This window comes from Homo sapiens, chromosome 1 (genome assembly GCF_000001405.40).
Source record: "Homo sapiens chromosome 1, GRCh38.p14 Primary Assembly".
NCBI lineage: Eukaryota > Metazoa > Chordata > Mammalia > Primates > Hominidae > Homo > Homo sapiens.
Genome location: NC_000001.11, coordinates 216,845,324 through 216,865,897, shown reverse-complemented (window position 1 = coordinate 216,865,897; position 20,574 = coordinate 216,845,324). Strand labels below are relative to the sequence as shown.

General features: G+C 36.6%; 1 protein-coding gene across 41 annotated transcripts in view; it reads left to right on the top strand.

The window, feature by feature from the left end:
* Positions 1 to 20,574, top strand: part of ESRRG (estrogen related receptor gamma) — a 634,457-nt gene that overhangs the window by 271,805 nt on the left and 342,078 nt on the right. For 15 of the 41 annotated variants that reach the window (XM_047449371.1, XM_047449351.1, XM_017000631.3 and 12 more), the window contains one exon: positions 720 to 837. The exons of 21 other annotated variants lie outside the window; for them this stretch is intronic. The gene's annotated coding sequence lies outside the window, so the exon portion shown is untranslated. Of the gene's footprint in view, positions 1 to 719; positions 838 to 10,772; positions 10,952 to 20,574 lie in introns of all 41 variants that reach the window. 5 more of the 41 variants (XM_017000637.2, XM_017000632.3, XM_017000636.3 and 2 more) reach the window with 2 other exon arrangements.

Here is a 20,574-nt window from a genome sequence, read left to right as displayed (position 1 = left end):
ATATAGGAAAAAAGAATGTTATATTAGGTATGGATATAAAAGATGCTAATATTATCCAATATAGGGACTCAGCACATAGAGAATGCAAAGAAAACTTTAGTTCTGATTTCTCAAAAGGAATGCCATTGTAAAAGACAGTTCTAGTATCACGAGAGAAATTCAGTACTTTCTTAACATTATTAGTCAAGGGGTGAAAGTAAAATCTTGAAAATTAAATGGTCCATTGGATTATATTTTTAATGTGCATTGGAATTTTGTATTGTTCCAAGTGCTAAACAAGTGTTCCATGTTTGCTTTTTAAGTTTACTCCTTTTCCCTCTTTTAACTGTAACAAAGTTTTCAAAGACAAAAATGAACAAAGACCAGCAGTCCCAATTGTGCTATGAAGCCAGGTAGGAAGCTTGGCTAGTTCCCACTACAGCATACTTTGTAAATGTGTTTCTTAAACCCTTAAGGTAAGACTTAAAAAAAAAAATGGACAGTTGTCAAGGATGGTTGATTTTTAAGGCTTAACTACCTGAGCAATGTTCATTTAAAATAACATATGAGTCTCAATCCAAATGATCTGAGCTGAGCAAACGGCCGCTTTGTCCTTCCCTTCCAAAGGAAGTTCTGAGGTGCTACAAAATCTATGAGAGTGAAATTTCTTTGGTTAGTGCTCTTTATTCCTTTGTGGTAATTTTTTTTTTTTTTTTTTTTTTTTTTTTTTTGCTGCACAGCTTTAAAAAGTTGAAGTCTATTGGAAACCTTCTTATAAGAAACCTTCCTAGTCAGAGAATTCAACTTTCTTCTTTTCTTCATTCATGAAAATGCAGATCCACTGAGAAAGGGAATAAGGTAAAAGTATCATTTTCCTTTGGGAATCAGGTTTTTCTGTCAGAGGAATAAAGGCCTTTCTTTCCAGGTCAATTCCTGTTGTGCTGAAGGCTGGGAATCATCACGCCCTTTTGGTGTGGGCCCCAGCTTTGAGCCTCTGTGATGATGGTAGAATCTGGAAGTCAGAAGCCCATATCCTAGATCAGCTGCTTTGCTGGGCTGACCTTCAGTGTGATCCTGCATCCCAAACTCCTGACCTCTCCAGAGAACTTGGGGTGTTCTCCCAAGATGCTGGGCCTCTGGGAAGCATCTCCTTAGGTGAACAGCCCCAGATGCCTCCTTCTTAAGTTGGTCTGTTACTCCACGCTGACTATCAACCCCCAAGTGTGAAAGATCACGTTTATTCCTGAGGGAAACACGGAGTTGTTCCTAACTCTACTTTGCCTTCTTAGAACACGTTTGCTTCTGGTTGAAATGAAAATTTTCAGTAAAGTGTTTTGGTTTTTTTTTTCTGTATTATTTTTGTTTTTTTATTTCCTTAAACCTCTGTTTTGGGTGAAGCACTACAGCAGAAGTCTAGTGTCATACAAAAGTACAACTGGAATCTTTGAATGTAACCCTCATCCAATAGCAGACATTTAAAAAATCACTCTTATAAATGTTTTAAATGTGTTCCAAACAGCATTGACCTCCTCAATAGGTAATTTTGTTAAAGGACTGGGCTTTGGCTGTTTTTTTTTTTTTTTTTCTGACTTGTTGATTTAGAGACCAGCTGCCTCCTAGGAAATTGTGATCAAAAGCTATAAAAGCAGACCATAACTATGTCAAATGCATGAGTAGGAATTGGGAAACTTGATTTGTCCTGTGATTCAATCTGGGTTAAAGATTGGTGCCACTTGAAATTACTATCCTTAGGGAAGTCATTAACAACCCCCCAAATGTTTGTATGTGCCTGTATGCAAGTGTATGTTGTATATTTACAATTTCATCCCATGTTCTGTCTCTCCAATTTTATGATTCTAGCTTTGGTGACCTCTGACTCCTCCTTCTCTATTCCTAACACTGTGTAACTTAGAGAGGATCAGGGAAGCTAGGATGTCCCAAATGCAATTTCATTAAATTAAAGAGAAATACACTAAGAAGTAGAAAAAATGTGATGAGTGTGATAAAATGATTTAGTGCAAGATGGCGGATGCAGTAGAGACAAGGAGCACAGAGTAGGAGCTTCCTGTGCAGCAGGGTGAGCAGAAGTATGCCCAGGAAAGTTCTGCAAATAGGTACTGTCTATCCCAGGCTTAAAAGGCAAATTAGAATTAGCCAGATGAAAGTGAGCAGGTAGGACAAAAAGTGTTGCAGAGGGAATAGCAAAGAACAAAGCCCATGACTCCTGAGAAAGAAAAACTATTTTTATTTATTTTAAACCTACAATAATAACTATTTCTCAAAAGGGTATAGGAGAAGAATAATTGAAAATATGGCAGAAAGTGGAAATAAAAGGTTTGACTAATTGGACTATACCCTTGCCCTATTCTTAACTTATTCACTGGTTTGATATTTAATTGCTCTCTAAGAGGATATTGACTGTCTCTATGCCAGTGAATTCTGCAACTAGGTAGTATGAGATCTACTTGAAAACTGTGGAATTTTCAGTAGGAACATAGAAAAATTTTGAAGGAAAGAAATTCTGAGAATAAAATAAAATTTTATTCACTTGAATTCTATTTCATTGTGAGCTTAAGGAAAAAATAAAGCTTTTCAAAAAATGCTATAATTTCTCTATTTTCTAAATTGGCCCTTTATTCTACATTGTCCTATTCTCATATATATCAGTGATTCTAAAAGTGTGGTCCTGGGACCAGCACCATCAGCATTCACAGAGAGCCTGTTAGAAATGCAGATCCTTAAGCTCCATCCCAGGCCTACTGAATCAGAAACTCTGGGCATCGGACCCAACAATCTATGCTTTTACACTCCCTCCAGGCAATTCTGATGGGTATCAAAGTTTAAGAATCACTGGTCTCTACTTTTTTTCATGTATTTTGTACAAAACAGTTTATATTATCTTCTTATTCATTACATTAATTTTGTACATATATTTTCTTTCAATAATTAACTTTTAAATTCCTTATGGACAATAATCTTATCTTTGTTTGTACCAGCTCTATGAGTTATAACTGAAATATAATAAACTGCACATTACAGTATATAATTGGATCCATTTTGACGTACATATACATCCATGAAACCAATACCTTAATCAACGTAATAAACGGGGATCTCACCCCAAAAGTTTTCTTTTGCTACCTTATAATCCTTTTCTCTGACCCCTTTACTGACCTACTTCCCCCATCTCAAGGCTAATCACTTATCTGCTTTTTGCCTCTATGGATAAGTCTGCATTTTGTAGACTTTCATGTAAGTGGAATCCTACAGTATATATTCTTTTTTATCTGGTTTGTCTCAATCAGTATAATTATTTTAACATATATCCATGTTGTTGAATCAGTAGTTAGTTCCTTTTTATTACTGAGGTACCATCAAATTGTATAAGCTACGATGTGTTTATTAAGTTACTGTCAGTGGATTTTTGTGTTATTTTAGCCTGGGCTTTTGGGGGGGTCACGAGGTCATGAGCTCGAGACCAGCCTGGCCAACATGGTGAAACCCCATCTCTACTAAAAATACAAAAATTAGCTGGGCATGGTGGCACGCACCTGTAATCCCAGCTACTCAGGAGGCTGAGGTAGGAGAATCACTTGAACCCAAGAGACGGAGGTTGCAGTGAGCCAAGATCACGCCACCGTACTCCAGCCAGGGCAACAGAGCAAGATTCTGTCTAAAAAAAAAAAAAAGGGAAACTGTTACAAGTCTTTGCATGGACATAGACTTTCATTGCTCTTTGGTAAAAACCTGAGAACAGATCATATATTAAGTGTATGTTTAACTTTTCAGAAAACTGTCAAGCTGTTTGTCTTCCAAAGTAGTATCACTTTACACTCTCAGCAACAGTGTATGAGAATTACACTTGCTCCAAATCCTTAGTTTAGTCAGACTTTTCAATTGTATTCATTCTAATAGATGTGTAGTAGTATCTTGTAGTTTTAATTTGCATTTCCCTAATGACTAATGATGTTGAGCATCTTTCATGTGCTCATTTATCATTCATATATCTTCCTTGTTGAAGTTTCTATTCTAATCTTCTGCCTACTTTTGTATTAGGTTTTTTGTTTTCTTGTTATTGAGTTTTGATAGTTCCTTCTGTATTCTAGATATAAACCTTTTATTTGATTTTATGATTTGCAATATATTCTGCTAGTGTTGGCTTGTCTTTTCCTTCTCACAACAGTGTCTTTTAAAGAGTATACATTTTTAATTTTTATGAAGTCTATCAATTTGATATTTAATGGGTTATGCTTTTCATATTGTACCTAAAAGAAAAAAATTTTGACTATCCCAGATTACAAAGGTTTTTCTCATGTGTATTTATTTTTGTGGGAAACATATAGTTGAATTTCGCTTTTTTATCCAATCTAACAATCTCTACTGTTAAAATTTTTTTTGCTTTTAGTACTTTTAATTGACGTATAATAATTACACATGAGATGCAGTGTGATATTTTGATACATGTATACAATGTGTAATGATCAATATTAGGATAATTAGCATATTCACCACTTCAAACATTTAGCATTTATTTGTATTGGAGACATTCAAAATCTGCTCTTTTAGCTATTTACAAATATACAATAAATTATTGTGAATTATACCCTGTAATGCTATAGAATATTACTTTTTAATTAGAATATTTAAACCACTTTTATTTAATGTGTTTATTGATATGGTTAAGTTTAAATCTAGCATTTTTCTATTTATTTTTTATTTATTTCATTTTTTTGTTTTCTTTCTCTTCATATTTTTACTTTCATTTGGATTAACTGAATAAATTTTATGATTCCATTTTATGACCTCGGTTGGCTTATTAGCTATAACTCTTTGCTTTATTATTTTAGGATTTATAGTATACATGTTTTACTTATCACAGACTACATTCAACTGATACTGTACCTCTTCATTTATTGTTTGAGACTTACAATAATATATTTCCATGTTTCCTCCCTCGACCTCTGTGCTATTCTTTTCACGTTTTGCTCTTACATATATTATAAACCCCACACTACATTGTCGTTATGATTTTTGTTTAAACAGTACATTGTTAAAGAGATGTACTAATAATAATAGCAAATAAATTAACTCACCTAGTTACCATTTCTTGTGTTCTTCATTCTTTTGTGTAAATTCATATATCCATCTGGTATCATTTTCTTTCTGTAACAAGGACTTCCTTGAATATTTTTGTATTGCAGTTTTGCTTGCGATGAATCATTTCAGCCTTGTATATACGTACAAATATATTTTGTTGTTTTGTTTTTAAAAGCTATATTTCAAATTCTCAGTTGACAGTTTTTTCTTTCTTTAAATATATTGTTCCAATATATTGTCTTCTTGCTTTCACTCTTTCCAATGAGAAATCTCTATTTTATTTACCTTCAGGTCTCCATGTAGTGTCTTCTGTCTCTGGCTACTTTTAAGATTTTATACTTTATCAGTCATTCTGAACAACTAGGTTATGATATGCCCTGGTGTCATTTTCTTTATGTTTCTTATTTGAGGATCTGCAGAGCTTCACTAATCTGTAGGCTTATAAATCTCCCTTGCCTCCAATTTGGGGACATATAAAATATAGTTATAATAATTGTTTTAATGTCTTTGTCTGCTATTTTTTCCTTTTTCTTATTTTATGTATGTATTTATTTAGTTTTGACAGAGTCTCGCTCTGTCACTCAGGCTGGAGCACAGTGGCACGATCTTGCCTCACTGCAACACTGCCTCCCAGGTTTAAGCAATTCTTCTGTCTCAGCCTCATGAATAGCTGGGATTACAGACATGTGCCACCATTGCCAGCTAAGTTTTTATATTTTTAGTGGAGACGGAGTTTCACCCTGTTGGCCAGGCTGGTCTCGAACTCCTGGCCTCAAGTGATCTGTCCACCTTGGCCTGCCAAAGTGTTGGGATTACAGGCATGAGCCACTGCACCTGGCCTTTGTCTGCTGTTTCTAACATCTGGGTCACTTTGGGGTCTGTTTCAATTGATTGGTTTTTTCCTTCTCACTTTTGGATGATATGTGCCTGCTTCTTTTGAGTGACTGGTAACTTTTGATTGGATGCCAGACATTGAGAATTCTATCTTCTCATATGTTGGATATTTTGTATTTCTGTTAATATCCTTAGCTTTTTCTGGGATGCAGTTATTTGGAAGTAGTTTCATCCTTTAGATTCTTACTTTTAATATTTGTTAGGTAGACTGGAACAGGGCTCAGTCTACAGCTAATTATTTACCATTTTTGAGTAAAGACCTGTCAGTGTACCCCACCCAATGTCCCATGAATCATGAGGTTTTTCCAATCTGGGTGATGAGAGCAAGCATTATTCCTAGTCTTATGTAAGCACTGGGCACTAGTACCTCTAAACTTTTTAATGATTCTTTTCCCAGCCTTCAATAGTTTCCTTGCATGCATGCACTGTTTAATATTCAATTGAACACTTGAAAAGGACTATCTGCAAATCTCTGGAGTTCTCTATCTTTGCAGCAACATCTTCTCTAGTACTCTATTCTACACTTGCCTTGATTTCCTGAGCCTTTTAGATGTGTCTCCTGAATTGAAGGAGTCTGTTGGCCTCTGCCTGACTTCACCTTTTGCATTTGACCTGGAGCCTCTCTCAAGGAAGTAAGCTGAGATGATCATAGGTCTTACCTTATTTGTTTCTAATCTCTTAGAGATCACTATATCTCTTTACCTTGCTCTAGGATCTTACACATTGTTCTGTATATTTTGTTTGTGTTTTTATTATTTTAGATGGTAGGGTAAGTCTGGTCCTTGTTGCTTTATCTTGGTTAAATGTGGAAGCTACTGATCCTATTTTATGCTTATTTTACAAAGTAGAGTTTCTCACACAGCGCTGGAGGATAAAGTAATAACACACATTCACATTTATTGAATATTTTTCTAAACATTATACATGGACTTATTTGATTCTCACAAAAACCCCTGTATTTTACAGATGCAAAACTGAGGAATTAATGGCTGGCCCAAAGGTCCATGCCAACTAGGGTCAGAGCCAATATATCAGTACAGGTTGCCTGAACTCATCTCTTAACCTGGCTTCACAGAACTGCTCTCTTTTACAAGATGCTTACCATGGAAAGTCACCTTAAGAATGGGTCACAGCTGGGGACATTTATTGAGTGTCTTCTATGTGATCAGTACTGTGATTCAAATCTCAACTCTGCCACTTAGGCCAAACACCAAATCTCCCTAGGCCTCAGTTTCCTCATTTGTAATCAGAGAACGATCATCCCTGCCAAGAGAGTTCTTGTGAGAATGCAATAAAATGCCAAATGTGAAGAACCTAGGATAGTACCTGGCCCCTTTACCAAATCTTGCTGAGTAAATATGTTAGGTCTGCCCATGCCCAGCATTTGAGAGTCACTCACTACTAATCAGAAAAAGATTTCAGTGCAACTCTAGTGAGGTCGTACAACAACTTCATTTAATTAATTATTTTATTTTATTATTATTATTTTTTGAGATGGAGTCTCACTCTGTCGCCCAGGCTGTAGTGCAATGGTACAATCTCAGCTCACTGCAAGCTCCACCTCCCAGGTTCACACCATTCTCCTGCCTCAGCCTCCCAAGTAGCTGGGACTACAGGCACCCGCCACCACGCCTGGCTAATTTTTTTTTTTTTTAGTAGAGACAGGGTTTCACCGTGTTAGCCAGGATGGTCTCGATCTCCTGACCTCGTGATCCACCCACCTCGGCCTCCCAAAGTGCTGGGATTACAGGCGTGAGCCACTGCACCCAGCCTTAATTATTTATTTTAATTACAATGTATTATGGTTTAATTTTCAAAGAGTTTTCATATCCGTCTTCTCATTTCATCTTTACAATTGTGCTTGAAAAAGGAGCTATTTTTCTCATTATTTTACAAATGAAGAAACTGACGCTCAGAGAGGTTACAAGATTTGGTTGAGACCCAAGATTCGCAGGTTTCAGGGGCAAGGTTGCAACTCAGACTTTCTGACTTATTTTATTTCTCCTTATACCATGGGGGAAATGTTAGTGAAAATTTGAAAAGTTTTTTAACAAAATTAGTGAACTTTTATGTGGGTATGTTTATATTCTGTATGTTATAATTAAAGTTCAAATAAAGGGTATTTTTCCAGTAAATGGGCGTGTCATTTTTGGTGAATGAATCCTTATATTGCTAAGAATGAAGGGACTTTTTTTTTTTTTTTTTTAAATCTGGCTTTGTGAAAAATTAGCTTCTGGACTAGACTTAGTTTTCAGAATGCCCTGTGACTCTCTAGCATGGTCCCCAGAGAAGATGAGATACACAGAGTTGCAGAATTAGATTTTTCTTTCTCTTTCTAGACTTTTATATTGTGTGCATTTTTAAAGAATACTTTTAATGTTTATTTTTAAATATGATAGTATGTGGGTGATATTGGTGCATTTCGTTTTATGTGTCCAGAATTTAAACCTGCAGGCAATAGGAGTGTTGAAGTGAAATTGGTCCTAGACAGTTAATAAATTCTAAGCAGAGATGCATAAATCAGCAAAGCGTATTTTTTAAAGTTTTTTTCTTTTTTTTTTTTTTCCCAAAGGGTGGTTAAGGGAGAATAGGAAAGGAATGTCTTCAGAGAATTGTTTTCTATCAGTTCGGGAAATAGAGAAAAGCACTGAGCAATGCCCAGTGCTGGTTAGCAGATTGTCATTTTTAGGTTTGATGTTCCAGGGTTTAATTGTCTTTCATGTGAACAATAGCAGACACTCTCTGGTGTGCTATGCTAGCATGATAAAAGGGGGTCGTTCTTGCATAGCAATGCCTTTTTTTATTATTAGCGTAAAAAATTAGCAAGCTGGAAGTCGTTAGAAGGAGTTCCACTGGCATTAATTGTAATGCAGCCTGAATTTGTTTGCAGACCGGTGCAGCAAGACAATAGCAAGGAGAAAAAAAAGAGCAATATTAATAGCCTTCTACTTATTGTATCATTTTAGTGGGCCTTAATAAGGTGTCGGCTGTCAACTGGAATTTATTTTTAAAAAAAGACATAGTAATTGATGTATTGCAGTAAGTATGGATGAGGGCTCAACTTGATTAATGTATGAGTTGGCTTTTTAAGGCATTTTAAAAAGGCTTCTTAACTGGGTCTTAAGAGACTGGCACAAGCCCACTGTAAACTATCTCTTTGCAGTTGGAAAATAGCCTGACAGCTGCTGATGTCTCTTGTGGGGTTTTCTCTTTTTTCCTCTTCCTGATCAGAGAAAACTGAAGTAATATACTCTTCGTCAATAATTGCAGTGCTTAAAAATCTTATAAAGGGATTTTGACTCTTCTCTCCAGAGATAACTTTCCAAAGGTTAAATTAGTTTTACTTGTGTGTGCTTCAAATATCACCACTTTCAATAAGGAGTGGATTTGGTTTTTAAATAAGCTGCTATTTTGTGGGTTGCTTGAACCCAGACACTTTGACAGAAATTGTTTTGATGTCAGAGATGGACTTGTTCCAAAAGCAATTTCAGGTCAAGATGAATTTCTTCACTCTCGAATCGCTTCTGTTCGTTCCAAGTGTGTGTGTGTGTGTGTGTGTGTGTGTGTGTGTGTGTTGAAGAGAGAAGCAGAGACAGACATATTGATTAAGCAACTGGTAATATCTATATGGGAAATGTAAGGAGCATGCTTTCCAGGAAATTTTCCTTTACATCAGTTTGAGATCCATTCATCCATTTTTCTTTATATTGAACACACTGTGTATCAACTCTATTCTATATTTTCTTTTCATAGGAAGTTTTTTTTTTTCACAAGAAACAAAGCAAGTGAGTTACAATTCTAGGGAAGACCGGGAAAAAAAGGAGATAATCGAATACTTTGCCTCTTTGGTATCCATAGGTGTCAACACAATGCCCCAGGTAGTAGGTCACCTCTTTTGATAACAACAAAAAGAAGACATTTGAAGAATTCCAAGCTGGCTGAAACTATCAGGCTATCACTGTGCAGCACTGGAGGAAGCACCTCATCATTATTCAGCACAACTGCCTTCACTCAAATTGAGATAAAGTCCATAAACATGAGAGAAAGAAATGAGAATGGAAAGAGTGGGAGGGAAAACACACTCTGCACAGTCCTTTGCACAACTGCATTTTCAAGCGGGGAACTGTCACAAGGCGTGTCGTGCAGATGCGGCAGCCGCAGGATCTTTGCAGCTGCATTTATCTCGTTGGTTCCCAGGTGTTTTGCCTTGCTGGGGAGCAGGGGAGGGGGCAGGTGGAGACACCTAATTGGGTGGATTAAGCGCAGATGTGTCACAGAGAGGACTCTTCCTTCCACGTGCCACAGACTCAGACTTGTTGGACCTTGGCAGTCTCGTTGCGGCCTTGACAGTATCATCTTTACATTAAATTCAAAAAGCATTTTGTTTTCCACTTTAGCTGGCCTCAGGTTCTACGTTACCTTTTGAATTTGTACAGGTTTTTTAATCTGTCAGAGTTGAACTTTTCTTATCTGTAAAATGGAGAAATAATATACCCACAGATATTTTTTTTCTAACAATTAAATGAGATAATTCACAGAAAGCTCTTATCCCAGTGACTGGCACCAAAGAAGCATTCAAGTCAGCTACAGTAACAGCAGCAACAACTTTAAACTAAAGCGAGAGCTACTGTTTATTGTTTCTTAGATGCTGTTGCCAGGAACATGGCTTTGTACCTAAGCCCTGTTATTGTTCAAGCCAACTTTTGCATGTTTTTGTTTCGGAATATTGAATCCAAGTGTCATATCAGCGGCCCATAGGTCCTAAATGATTTTGAAAAAAAGCATTACCCTTTCCTCTTCAGGGTGAAAATATATATGGGAAAAATTCTTCCAAAATGGAGCCTGACATTGACCCCTAGAGCTTAAAGCCTAACCGGACAGACTCTCCAGAGAGGAGCTTTCTGTTGGTCCACGGGCATTTTCAGAGGACCCAGCACTTCTAGAGGATTGCTCAGTGTGACCAAAAGTTGAGCAACCAAACGTGAGCAAAAATTCTATGCTTTATGAGCATCTTATAAACCAATATTTTATTCAAAATTCAGTGAAACTTAACATGTAAGTGCTTGCTTACCTCAGCTCAATTTTGTCAAAATTTTTTTTTCTTGCCTTCCGGGAGTTTACAATTTCACTGTAGAAATAAAACACAAGATACGTTAAATTGTCAAAATGTGTAGTAAACAATGCTTAACAGAGAAAGTGAGCTACTTTTTTGCAATTATATCACAGCTCTGGTATCCATCAGCCAAGACTATTGTATAGCCATAAGTAGTTACCTCAGGCGCCATATAGACATGATCATTTCTCCTGCCCTAAGAAGTGAAAGTGGAAAGGGTGAGTGCTCTTAGTCTGGGCAGTTAATTAACTGGCTTTTCTACAAAATTTATCAGTTCCTGTTGATCCTCAGACTTGTGTACACATTTGTCTACCTACCTGGTATTCGTTAGATGCTTCAAGGCGTGTAAAAATGGATAAGACAACTCCCTGATCTTCAAGAATATTACAGTCTAGTTAGAAATACATCTAGGGAGTTTTTTCTTTTTTTTCTTTGCTTTTTTTTTTTTTTTTTTTTTTTTTGATGGTGTCTTGCTCTGTCGCCAGGCTGGAGTGCAGTGGTGCGATCTCGACTCACTGCAACTTCCACTTCTGGGGTTCAAGGGATTCTCCTGCCTCAGCCTCCTGAGTAGCTGGGACTACAGGCACACGCCACCACAGCCAGCTAATTTTTGTATTTTTAGTAGAGACAGGGTTTTATCATGTTGGCCAGGATGGTCTCCATCTCTTGACCTCATGATCCACCCGCTTCAGCCTCCCAAAGTGCTAGGATTACAGGCATGAGCCACCGCACCCTGCCACATCTAGGGAGCTTTTGTGGCAGCTGCAGAAGCAGCCAGCTGAGCCTAACTCCCAGCTGATTCACAAAGTAATTGATGGCATTGTGTCTGGGCTCATGCTCTATGTCAGGATTAGCACAGTGTTTCAGTTTCAACAGAAGGCACACATGCTCTGAAAGGTATAAACAGACTTAAAAACCTATAAATGGTGAAAAGTGTATGTCCAATGAAAAGATAAAAAAGCAATTGAATCAGTTGAATCATTTCACCAAGAAATTATTATGAAGTGCTTGAAATGCAGGAAAGATGAAATAAAACAGATGAAAGCTAGAAACAGCACTCAAAGCAACTCGCTGTTGAAGTTTGCAGAAATGAATGCTTTACTGGCACTTGGGGAATAAGGAATGGCATCTTGGAGGACCAGTGAGTTTACCCGGTCTTTGGAAGAGAGGTAAAATGTGATGGGTGGATACACTGAGTGTGGGAGACAGGGGTCTTAGTGAGTCTGTATGTTGTGGGACCATTGAGGGTTCTGGGGCTGCATGAATAAAGACAAGGAAGTGTGTGAAAGAACAGAAAAATGGAGGAGCTAGAGGAAGGTGTGTGTAGAAACTGAGTATAATTGCTAAATAGAACACTGAATTGAAGACAAAATAGGAAAGATCTCAAGTATTACATAAGGGAATTTGGACTTTATGATTTCTCATGTTAGAATTTGTACCATTGAACTTTTTTGAAGTTGGACGTGGCATAATCCACGCTGGATATTTCAGAGCGAACTGGCAGCATGTGAAAAGTAGGTTGATAAAGGCATAGGATCTACTCTGAAAGTGAAGCCTCAATCAGAAGGACTTGTCATTTTTCTTTGCTACCAGTCAGCCAATTGGCCTATATGCACTGCTCTACAGAGTGTACAAAAGAGGTTTGGCTATTTTTACCATTAACTTGATTCAGTCCTTTAGCATAATGCATACCTGTCAGAGTATAAACATTTTTGATATGTGTTTGTGTCCTTGACTAACATGTAGAGTATTACAAAGTTTGGGAACTGTTTGTAAAGGACAGGGGTTCTAATAGGCTGAGAGATGCAGGCTAGAAGCACTTTTATAAAATCTCACAGAAAATATGTAAAACAAGTAGGTAGTACCTGGTGCATATTAGGTTTCCCGGGACCTAGGAAAGTAAGTGAGGCCATAGTCAGAGTGACTCAAATGTGTTTCAAGACAGAGACAGTCAAACAATTAAATCTTAACATGGAAAGAGCCCTGGTGGGAAGAAGTAAGAAGATAAGGTAGGATGAGTCCTATCTCTAGACCTAAATGTCTGGACTTTGGATTAGATTCTCTGACATTTAGGGCTTCAATACCTTAATCTGAAAAATCAGATTATTCAACTGTTTTTGCTCAAAACTTCTATGATTATTGAGCATCCTATAAATCAAATTTTATTCAAAATTCAGTGAAACTTAACATATAAGTGTTTGCTTACCTCTGCTCAATTTTATCTTACATTAAACAAGATAGTATGAACACATTTTTTTTCTTGCCTTTCAGGAGTTTACAATTTCATTGTGGAAATAAAACGCAAGATATGCTAAATTGCCAAAATGTGTACTAAATAGTAAAATGCTTAACAGATAAGTGAGCTACTTTTTGCAATTATATCAGAGCTCTTTGATCTTGTTTATGTCTTCAGTTGCTAATTTGTGTGCCACGGTTTCTTCTCCAAAGAATTTCCTATACAATGTCCTGCTCACCTTGGTTGTGTTCACCATCTTGATTAACTAATAGTGCTTCTTTACTAATATCATTGTAACTGAGTGCCAAGAACCCAGCATATATCAGTACTGTCTATGAAGAAGCCAACCTTTATCACTAATCTCTTTAAAGGTGGTGATGATGAATTTCAAGAGTGAAGGACTTGGACAAAATAATACTTTTAAAGGGGTATTTCTTAAGTCTCAAATAAACCAAGCCTAAACAACCCTTTTGGGAAACTCTTTTTTCTTTGCTTTAAGTCTTTATTCATCTATCTGACAAACTTCTCAGCCGCAACAGGTTGCATGTAGTTCTTTCTCATATTGCTTTTCTTTCTTACTGTCCCTTCTAAGGGCTCTTTGTCAAAGTTTTGAATTCTCTTCTTTGAACCAATCCATTTGGTGATTTTTTTTTTGTATCTTATTATTTTGTAAAGTTGATATCAGTGTGGCCCCACTTGGGTGATTTTTCTACTCTTCCTAAATACCAGTTTCCTAATATTTGTTTGATTGGTCTTGTTTATTTCTATAATGTTCAGGAAAAAATAAAAGGATCCTTAGCCGGGTCAATGAGAGATGCACATTTCTGCAAATTAGCAGCCAACAGTAGTGTCTTAGTTCGGCCTGCTGTAATGAAGCACCATAGACTGTGTGGCTTATAAACAACAGAAATTTAATTTCTTACAGTTCTGGAGGCTGAAAGTCTGAGATCAGGGTGTCAGCATGATCAGGTTCTGGCGAGGGCCTTCATCCAGTTTGTAGACTGTCAACTTCTCCCTGTATCCTCATACAGTGGAAAGAGGGCAAGAGCGCTCTCTGGCCTCTTTTTATAAGGGCACTAATCTCATCCATGAGGGCTCCACTCTCATGACCTAATTACCACCCAAAGGCCTCACCTGCTAATACCATTACCTGGTGGGGAGTGGGGAGGATTTCAACTTGTGAATTTTGGAGGAATACACACATTTAGTCCATAACAAGTAGTTCTCTCCTACACTACTGTGTTTCAAAAGTAACTTAGATGCCGAAACAAGAAAAGCAGCACATGCATCTTGTTGGTTTCAGGTCTGCTGACTCAAAGCACACAGCTTTTAGTAATGAGTGGGCACTCTGAGAAGTGTAGTTATTCTTTCTTTACAAAAAATTATCTTTCTAATTAGTCATAGATCTTTAACCTTTCTTCCAGTCCTGCTAGGATTCTAAGGGTTCAGAAAAACATACTCACGATATCTGATAGGTAGTATAGAATGTATTCAATAAAAACAAAATATCATGTTGGTGGAGGAAGTGTTATACATACTAGATAAGGAGTCTACACATCTAAACACATGCATGTAAACCATACCTTTTTTAGTGCTTAGACACACATTTCTAGAGGGCCGTATCTTCCAGAAAGATAAAACATTTATCAGCACTTTACATGACAGCCTTGATAAAATATTGTGATATTATCTAAGCACATCTCTTTCTTAACTAAGCAATATTTCCATAGATCTTTTGTCCCGTTCATTCTTGGTAAATGATTCATCAATAGATTCAATGAAAAATATGAAACTTATGATCAATATCATCAATCTTATTTCCATTTTGTAAAACAGCACGGTATTTATTACAGATCACAGGAAGAGTTTAATTTCTAGGGGAAATGATATATATCTTTTCATATTAAACTCTGCTACCTTTAATTTTGCATATATTTAAATGTCATCAAGAATTGCACCTTTGATTATTGGAACAAAGGAGATAGGAGTACAGTGTATTATATAATTACTAGGCTAAACATATACATTATATATTTCACTATATCTTATTTTTAGCCTGTTTCCAGACATGGTGCAACTTCTACATAAGGTTTTGGTTTAAAACTACCTGTGGAGAGTTGGATAGTGACTACATCTTTTTAACAATGCAAGTGTTAATAAACTTAATGTCACTCACACCAAAAATAATATGTTTATACTAAGAGTTCTTTAACTAATGAATTGATGTTTTCTTCTGGAGAAGAGGAAACATAATAGGTGGCATTTATTAGAAAGTATCTTCATATTGACAACATTGGTAGAAAGCAAAAATTCAGCTGTCATTTAACAAATATTTTCACCATTCATTTCTTTTGAAGAAATAATTCAAAAGGAGTGATTTTAAAGAAAATATTTATTTGGATGATGCCAATGGTTTGGCTATCTACATTTTAAATTGTGTATATATTTCTATTTGAAGTCTCAGTAAAAATATTTAGCTCATTATAGACATAATAAATGTTCTGTAAAACTGGTAAAAGAAATAAATCTTATCTTGCAGAAGTATATAAAGTGCATTACACCTTTCAGTCTCCATTTATTTAGAATGAAAATTTTAAAGTGCAATTAGAAATATTTACAATAAATCATTCACTAAAACAAGAGAGTTCATAAACTTCTTTCTGCTGAAGAAGATACCTTCCATGTGAATAGTTGAAAGAGTCATGTCCTGTTTTTAACCCAAGACATGGTCTGGGAAAACTGTAGTATAGATGGCTCAATATTACTGTTGTTTGTATAAGCTACTTCAAAGGAATCCAGAAAAAGTGCTATTGGGAAGATACTGAAATTTCTACTAAAGTAGTTGACATTTTTCAATATTTGAGGAGCGTGGGTCTTTTTATTTTCTTATTAATCTGTTTCCTATATAATCTGTATCAAGGAAAGTTTTTCAAGCAGATTGTTCCCAGTAGCCAATGCTGAAATGAAGTAGGACGAATCCTTTTGATCTCTTGGTAGTAAACTGTTTGCAGATAATACCTAACAAGGGCATTTCTGTTCGTTTGCTATCAAATTTAATAGAAACTAGTGGAATCTGAGTTCAGCAAAAGATAAATAAATAAATATATAAAAGCCTTACATAGTTTTTGAATGCATACCTTTAAATGTCGAGAGATAATGACTTGTGTAGCATTGTTATATAATGTATTTCTTGTCTTCTGTTGGGTTCATGTGACGAATTCCAGTTGATAAGCCCCAGACTCTGGAGTCAGTTGTCTGGCTAGTTATTAAGATTAAGATAAGTACTAAGAACGAAAGATACAGTGCATTGTACTACCTTTATGGGTTTGGGCCACCTAGGATTCTGAGTGTAAACAATGAATTAGTTCACCCTGACTCCTTTTCAGACCTGAAGTGAACAATGTAAATATTGGTGAAGAATGATTAGAGATTATTTTTTAATGGAAAATATATTTTAATTACCAAAAATTCTAAAATATGTATAATTGTGGCAATAAGTTTATAGAAAAGAGATTTACTGTCTCATTTTTCTTTTTATATTGGTATTCAGAAATAAGAAGATAATTATTTAATGGGTCATAGGTAGTTCATATCAGAAAGGCATTTCGTCCTCATAAAATACGCCAGGAGGAAAAAATACAAGATATTTAAGTGCAGTTAAGGGACTTTCAGATGAAGGACAATATTAGTAAAACATATATTTCTAATGCATATCCAGCGCTAGTATTACCTATTAAATGTTTCTCGGTGATTCTTCAAAGAGTGAAAAAAGTGCATGTACTGTTCTTTAAAGCTGATAGAATGTTCCAGAGGCACACCAAACAGAGACAAATATTTTCCGAAGTGCAGTCAATTATTCACACTAAATATAGTAAATATGAGCTTTGCTGCAAATTGGTAGGCAACATTTCCAGCATAGCAAAGTTTAACTGTCTATGAGATCGCTGGAGGAGTGATAGAAAGGGGTAATTTAGCAAGCATACCATAGCAACATGCTGCGCAATGTAGAGCACTGGGTAGCTATTAATTTTTGTTAATGAATTTAAAACTAGATGTATGGAAATGGTTATATGAAATGTATACACTGCTAAACAGTTAACTAGCCCTTAGGGCTTAAGTTTAATTATCTCTGTGTAAATCATTTTGAGCAGGGCGACCTAATGAGTCAAAAAAAAAAAAAGCCAAGAAATTCATATCTAGCTTTGTGATGACTGCTGAGCACAAGCCAGACATTCTAAACCTCAGGTAGAGAAAAATTTACATGTCCATGTAGGGCTCAGTCTTTCTGGTGTCTCTTCCCAGGGCTGCATTGCTTTCTTCATTCCCACCCCAGAAGCATACTTGACAGAGGAGATGGGCAAGTGCAGTGTGTACTTTTACATGTCTTTCTGCCTTTGAGTTGCCATTCTAGGTCCTTCTCAGTCAGGATGATTTCACCTCCCACCATTACCCCACGGGACATTTGCCAATATCTGGAGTCATTTTTGGTTGTCACTAAGTGGGTGGCAAAAACCATGGATGCTGCTAAACATCCTACAATGCACAGGACAGCCTCCCACAACAAAGAATTATCTGCCTCTAAATGTTTATAATCCTGAGGTCGAGAAACGCTGTCCTATACCAACATCTTGGAACAGCATTTGTTCATGATTAAAAAACATTAGCCACAGGAGACAAGAATGGAGTGTCCCTCTTCTGCTCCCTGAACATATTATTGTACACTAGAGAGTTAGAGGGCATAGCCACCGCCACTGTGTTTCTTGCCAACCAGATGCCCAATGTCTGTATTTAGGCATGGACCCCTCAGCTCAGCAGTCATGATGCTTTGATAATAGGCCATGAATGAAGAGCAGGTTCACCCAGGGTTTAATATCCATTCATATCATAGTAGAATCACAGACCTGGACATGCCCAGTTTAGAGAGAGACAATATGCTTAAGAATAATGAGAACTGCTCTGCTGACACAGGAGCCTGGACTAAAATGACTCATGGGATTCATCCTGGCTCTCATCATCTCTGGTTGGTTGCCGAGAAAGGATGTGTTGGTGTAGTTAAAAAGAAACCATGACAGAATGCAAAAAGCGTTCATACTCCCCCGAGGAAAATCATTTTGGGAATTAAAATGTATCCCTTTCCTTTCTACTCCAGTTAAATCATGGTACCTTTTGAACTCTCTTGAGAACATATTTAAATTCTTTGTCTGTTGAGAATAAAGATAGCAAATAGGTTGTCTGCCCCTATATAGTTTATTAAGTAAAACTAAAATTGCAACTTAATGCCATGTTAGAGCAGATTTATAGTGTAAATACTAAACATTACTTGAAAACTTTAGATAGGGGTCATTTATACCCTCACACATCTTCAAACTTTAATAATATAGAGCCCTAGTAGCACAAATTGTGCACGGCAGACCTTGATGTACTGTAACTGGTACTGTCAACTCTCCTTTGTGGCCTAAGCAGTAATCATAATACATGATTAACAAGCCTCTTATCTTACTCATTTTACACTAAAAAAGCAGTAGTCACCCTGCTGGTGACTGCCATTGAATTATTTACCTGGAAGGAATGTTGAGTTATCAAAGCCCTGAGAATTCAAGAAATTGTCTTTTCTTAGTTTAGTGACTGCACTGTTGCAGTACTCCTGGAAACTTGCTTTCTGCATCTGAATTAGTTTTATATATATAAATATATATACAAAAAACTATCTTTAAAGAGAACTACATAAGGGGAATGTCAAATAAAACCGAAGATTCAGGTTCAGCTTTATCTGGGCCTCAGTTTTCCTCCTTTTTGAGGAATGTTAATTGGGTCAGGATTCCTCTAAGTTAACTAAATTAGTGACTTTGTTATTGTGAAAAATCAAGCATGCAACAATATTTAAGATGAATAATAGATATTTCAGTATCTGTTACAAATGTTCACCCCTTTGGCTTAGTGATTACACTTTTATGCATCTTGAGAAAGCAATCAGAGATCTAGGCCAGGGGTTGGGTTGGCAAACTGCTGCCCTCAGGCCAAATTCTGTCCGGTGCCTGTTTTTGTGAATAAAATTTTATCGGAACGTAGTCACAGCCATTTATCTACTCATTGTATCTAACTACAGCAGAAATGAGTAGTTGAAACAGAGACCATATGGCTCATAAAGCCTAAAATACTGACTATCCGGACCTCTACAGAAAAGTTTGCCAACTCCTCTAGACAAAGACATATGTTTATTGTTTCCTTGTTTATAAGTAAAAATAACCTAGTAATTTCTTATAGGGCATTGTTAACTAAATGGCAATAAATCCCTATAGTGAAATACGCTCTCCTGTCCAAAATGGTGATCAAGAATACGTAAAGACGTGGAAATATTTTCACAATATAATAAGTGGGGGAAAACTAAATATAGTGTACGATATTGACCATGTAAAGATGTCCAAAGAGAAGAGACCAAAAAGAAACAAACTATGAAGTTGTTATTTAGGGATTTATAGGTTAAATTTTGTTCTTTTTACATGATTTAAATTTGCTACTGTGTTTTTAGAAAATTATTTTTACGATCAGGAATGAATACGGTTAAGTGGTTACTGTGACAAAGGAAAGAAAGACAAGAGACACTGGGAGCCTTCTGTAGACGATTTCCTTCTTGGTGCAATAGAAACGCAGCTTTCTTTCCCTTCCTCTCAAAGAGGAGTGGAGTGGAGACATCCTGAGTGGAGGGTGTATCACTCTTCCAGGAAAGTGGGGTCCTGTTCATTATTATTGCCAGCTGATGCTTTTTAAGTCCAGAGGTTTGCCAGGTTAGCTTAAGCCTAAGAGTAGCGACTGGGAGAATATGATGCCTGAATCTGGATGTTTTGGAAGAAAGACAAGGATAGGATGAGTTAGAAAGTTCCAGAGTAGGAATGTTTTCAGGGGAGGGGAAAACTGAGTCAGGTACTGACATGAAGGCCACTGGATGCTTCAGAGTCTAGAGGGGATAAAACAGTATAGCTTACAAGCCAGGAAAGGGCACAGAACAGGAGAGATGGGGGCACAGCTTGACAGGCAATACCTGTTTTCCAATTTTGTCCAGAAGTAGCTTTTCTCTAAGCCAGACTTTTCTTCAGAGCTCTTCTGTGTCTCCTTACCAAAGCCGATGATAACTACCATGACCAGCTTTGTTTTTCTACAGTAGGTGGAATAAATTATACCCTATCAATGTTATCTTTATACCAGGTGAAGAGAGTTTGTGTCATCTATAACCCTATTTTGATAAAGGCTCTTGCAC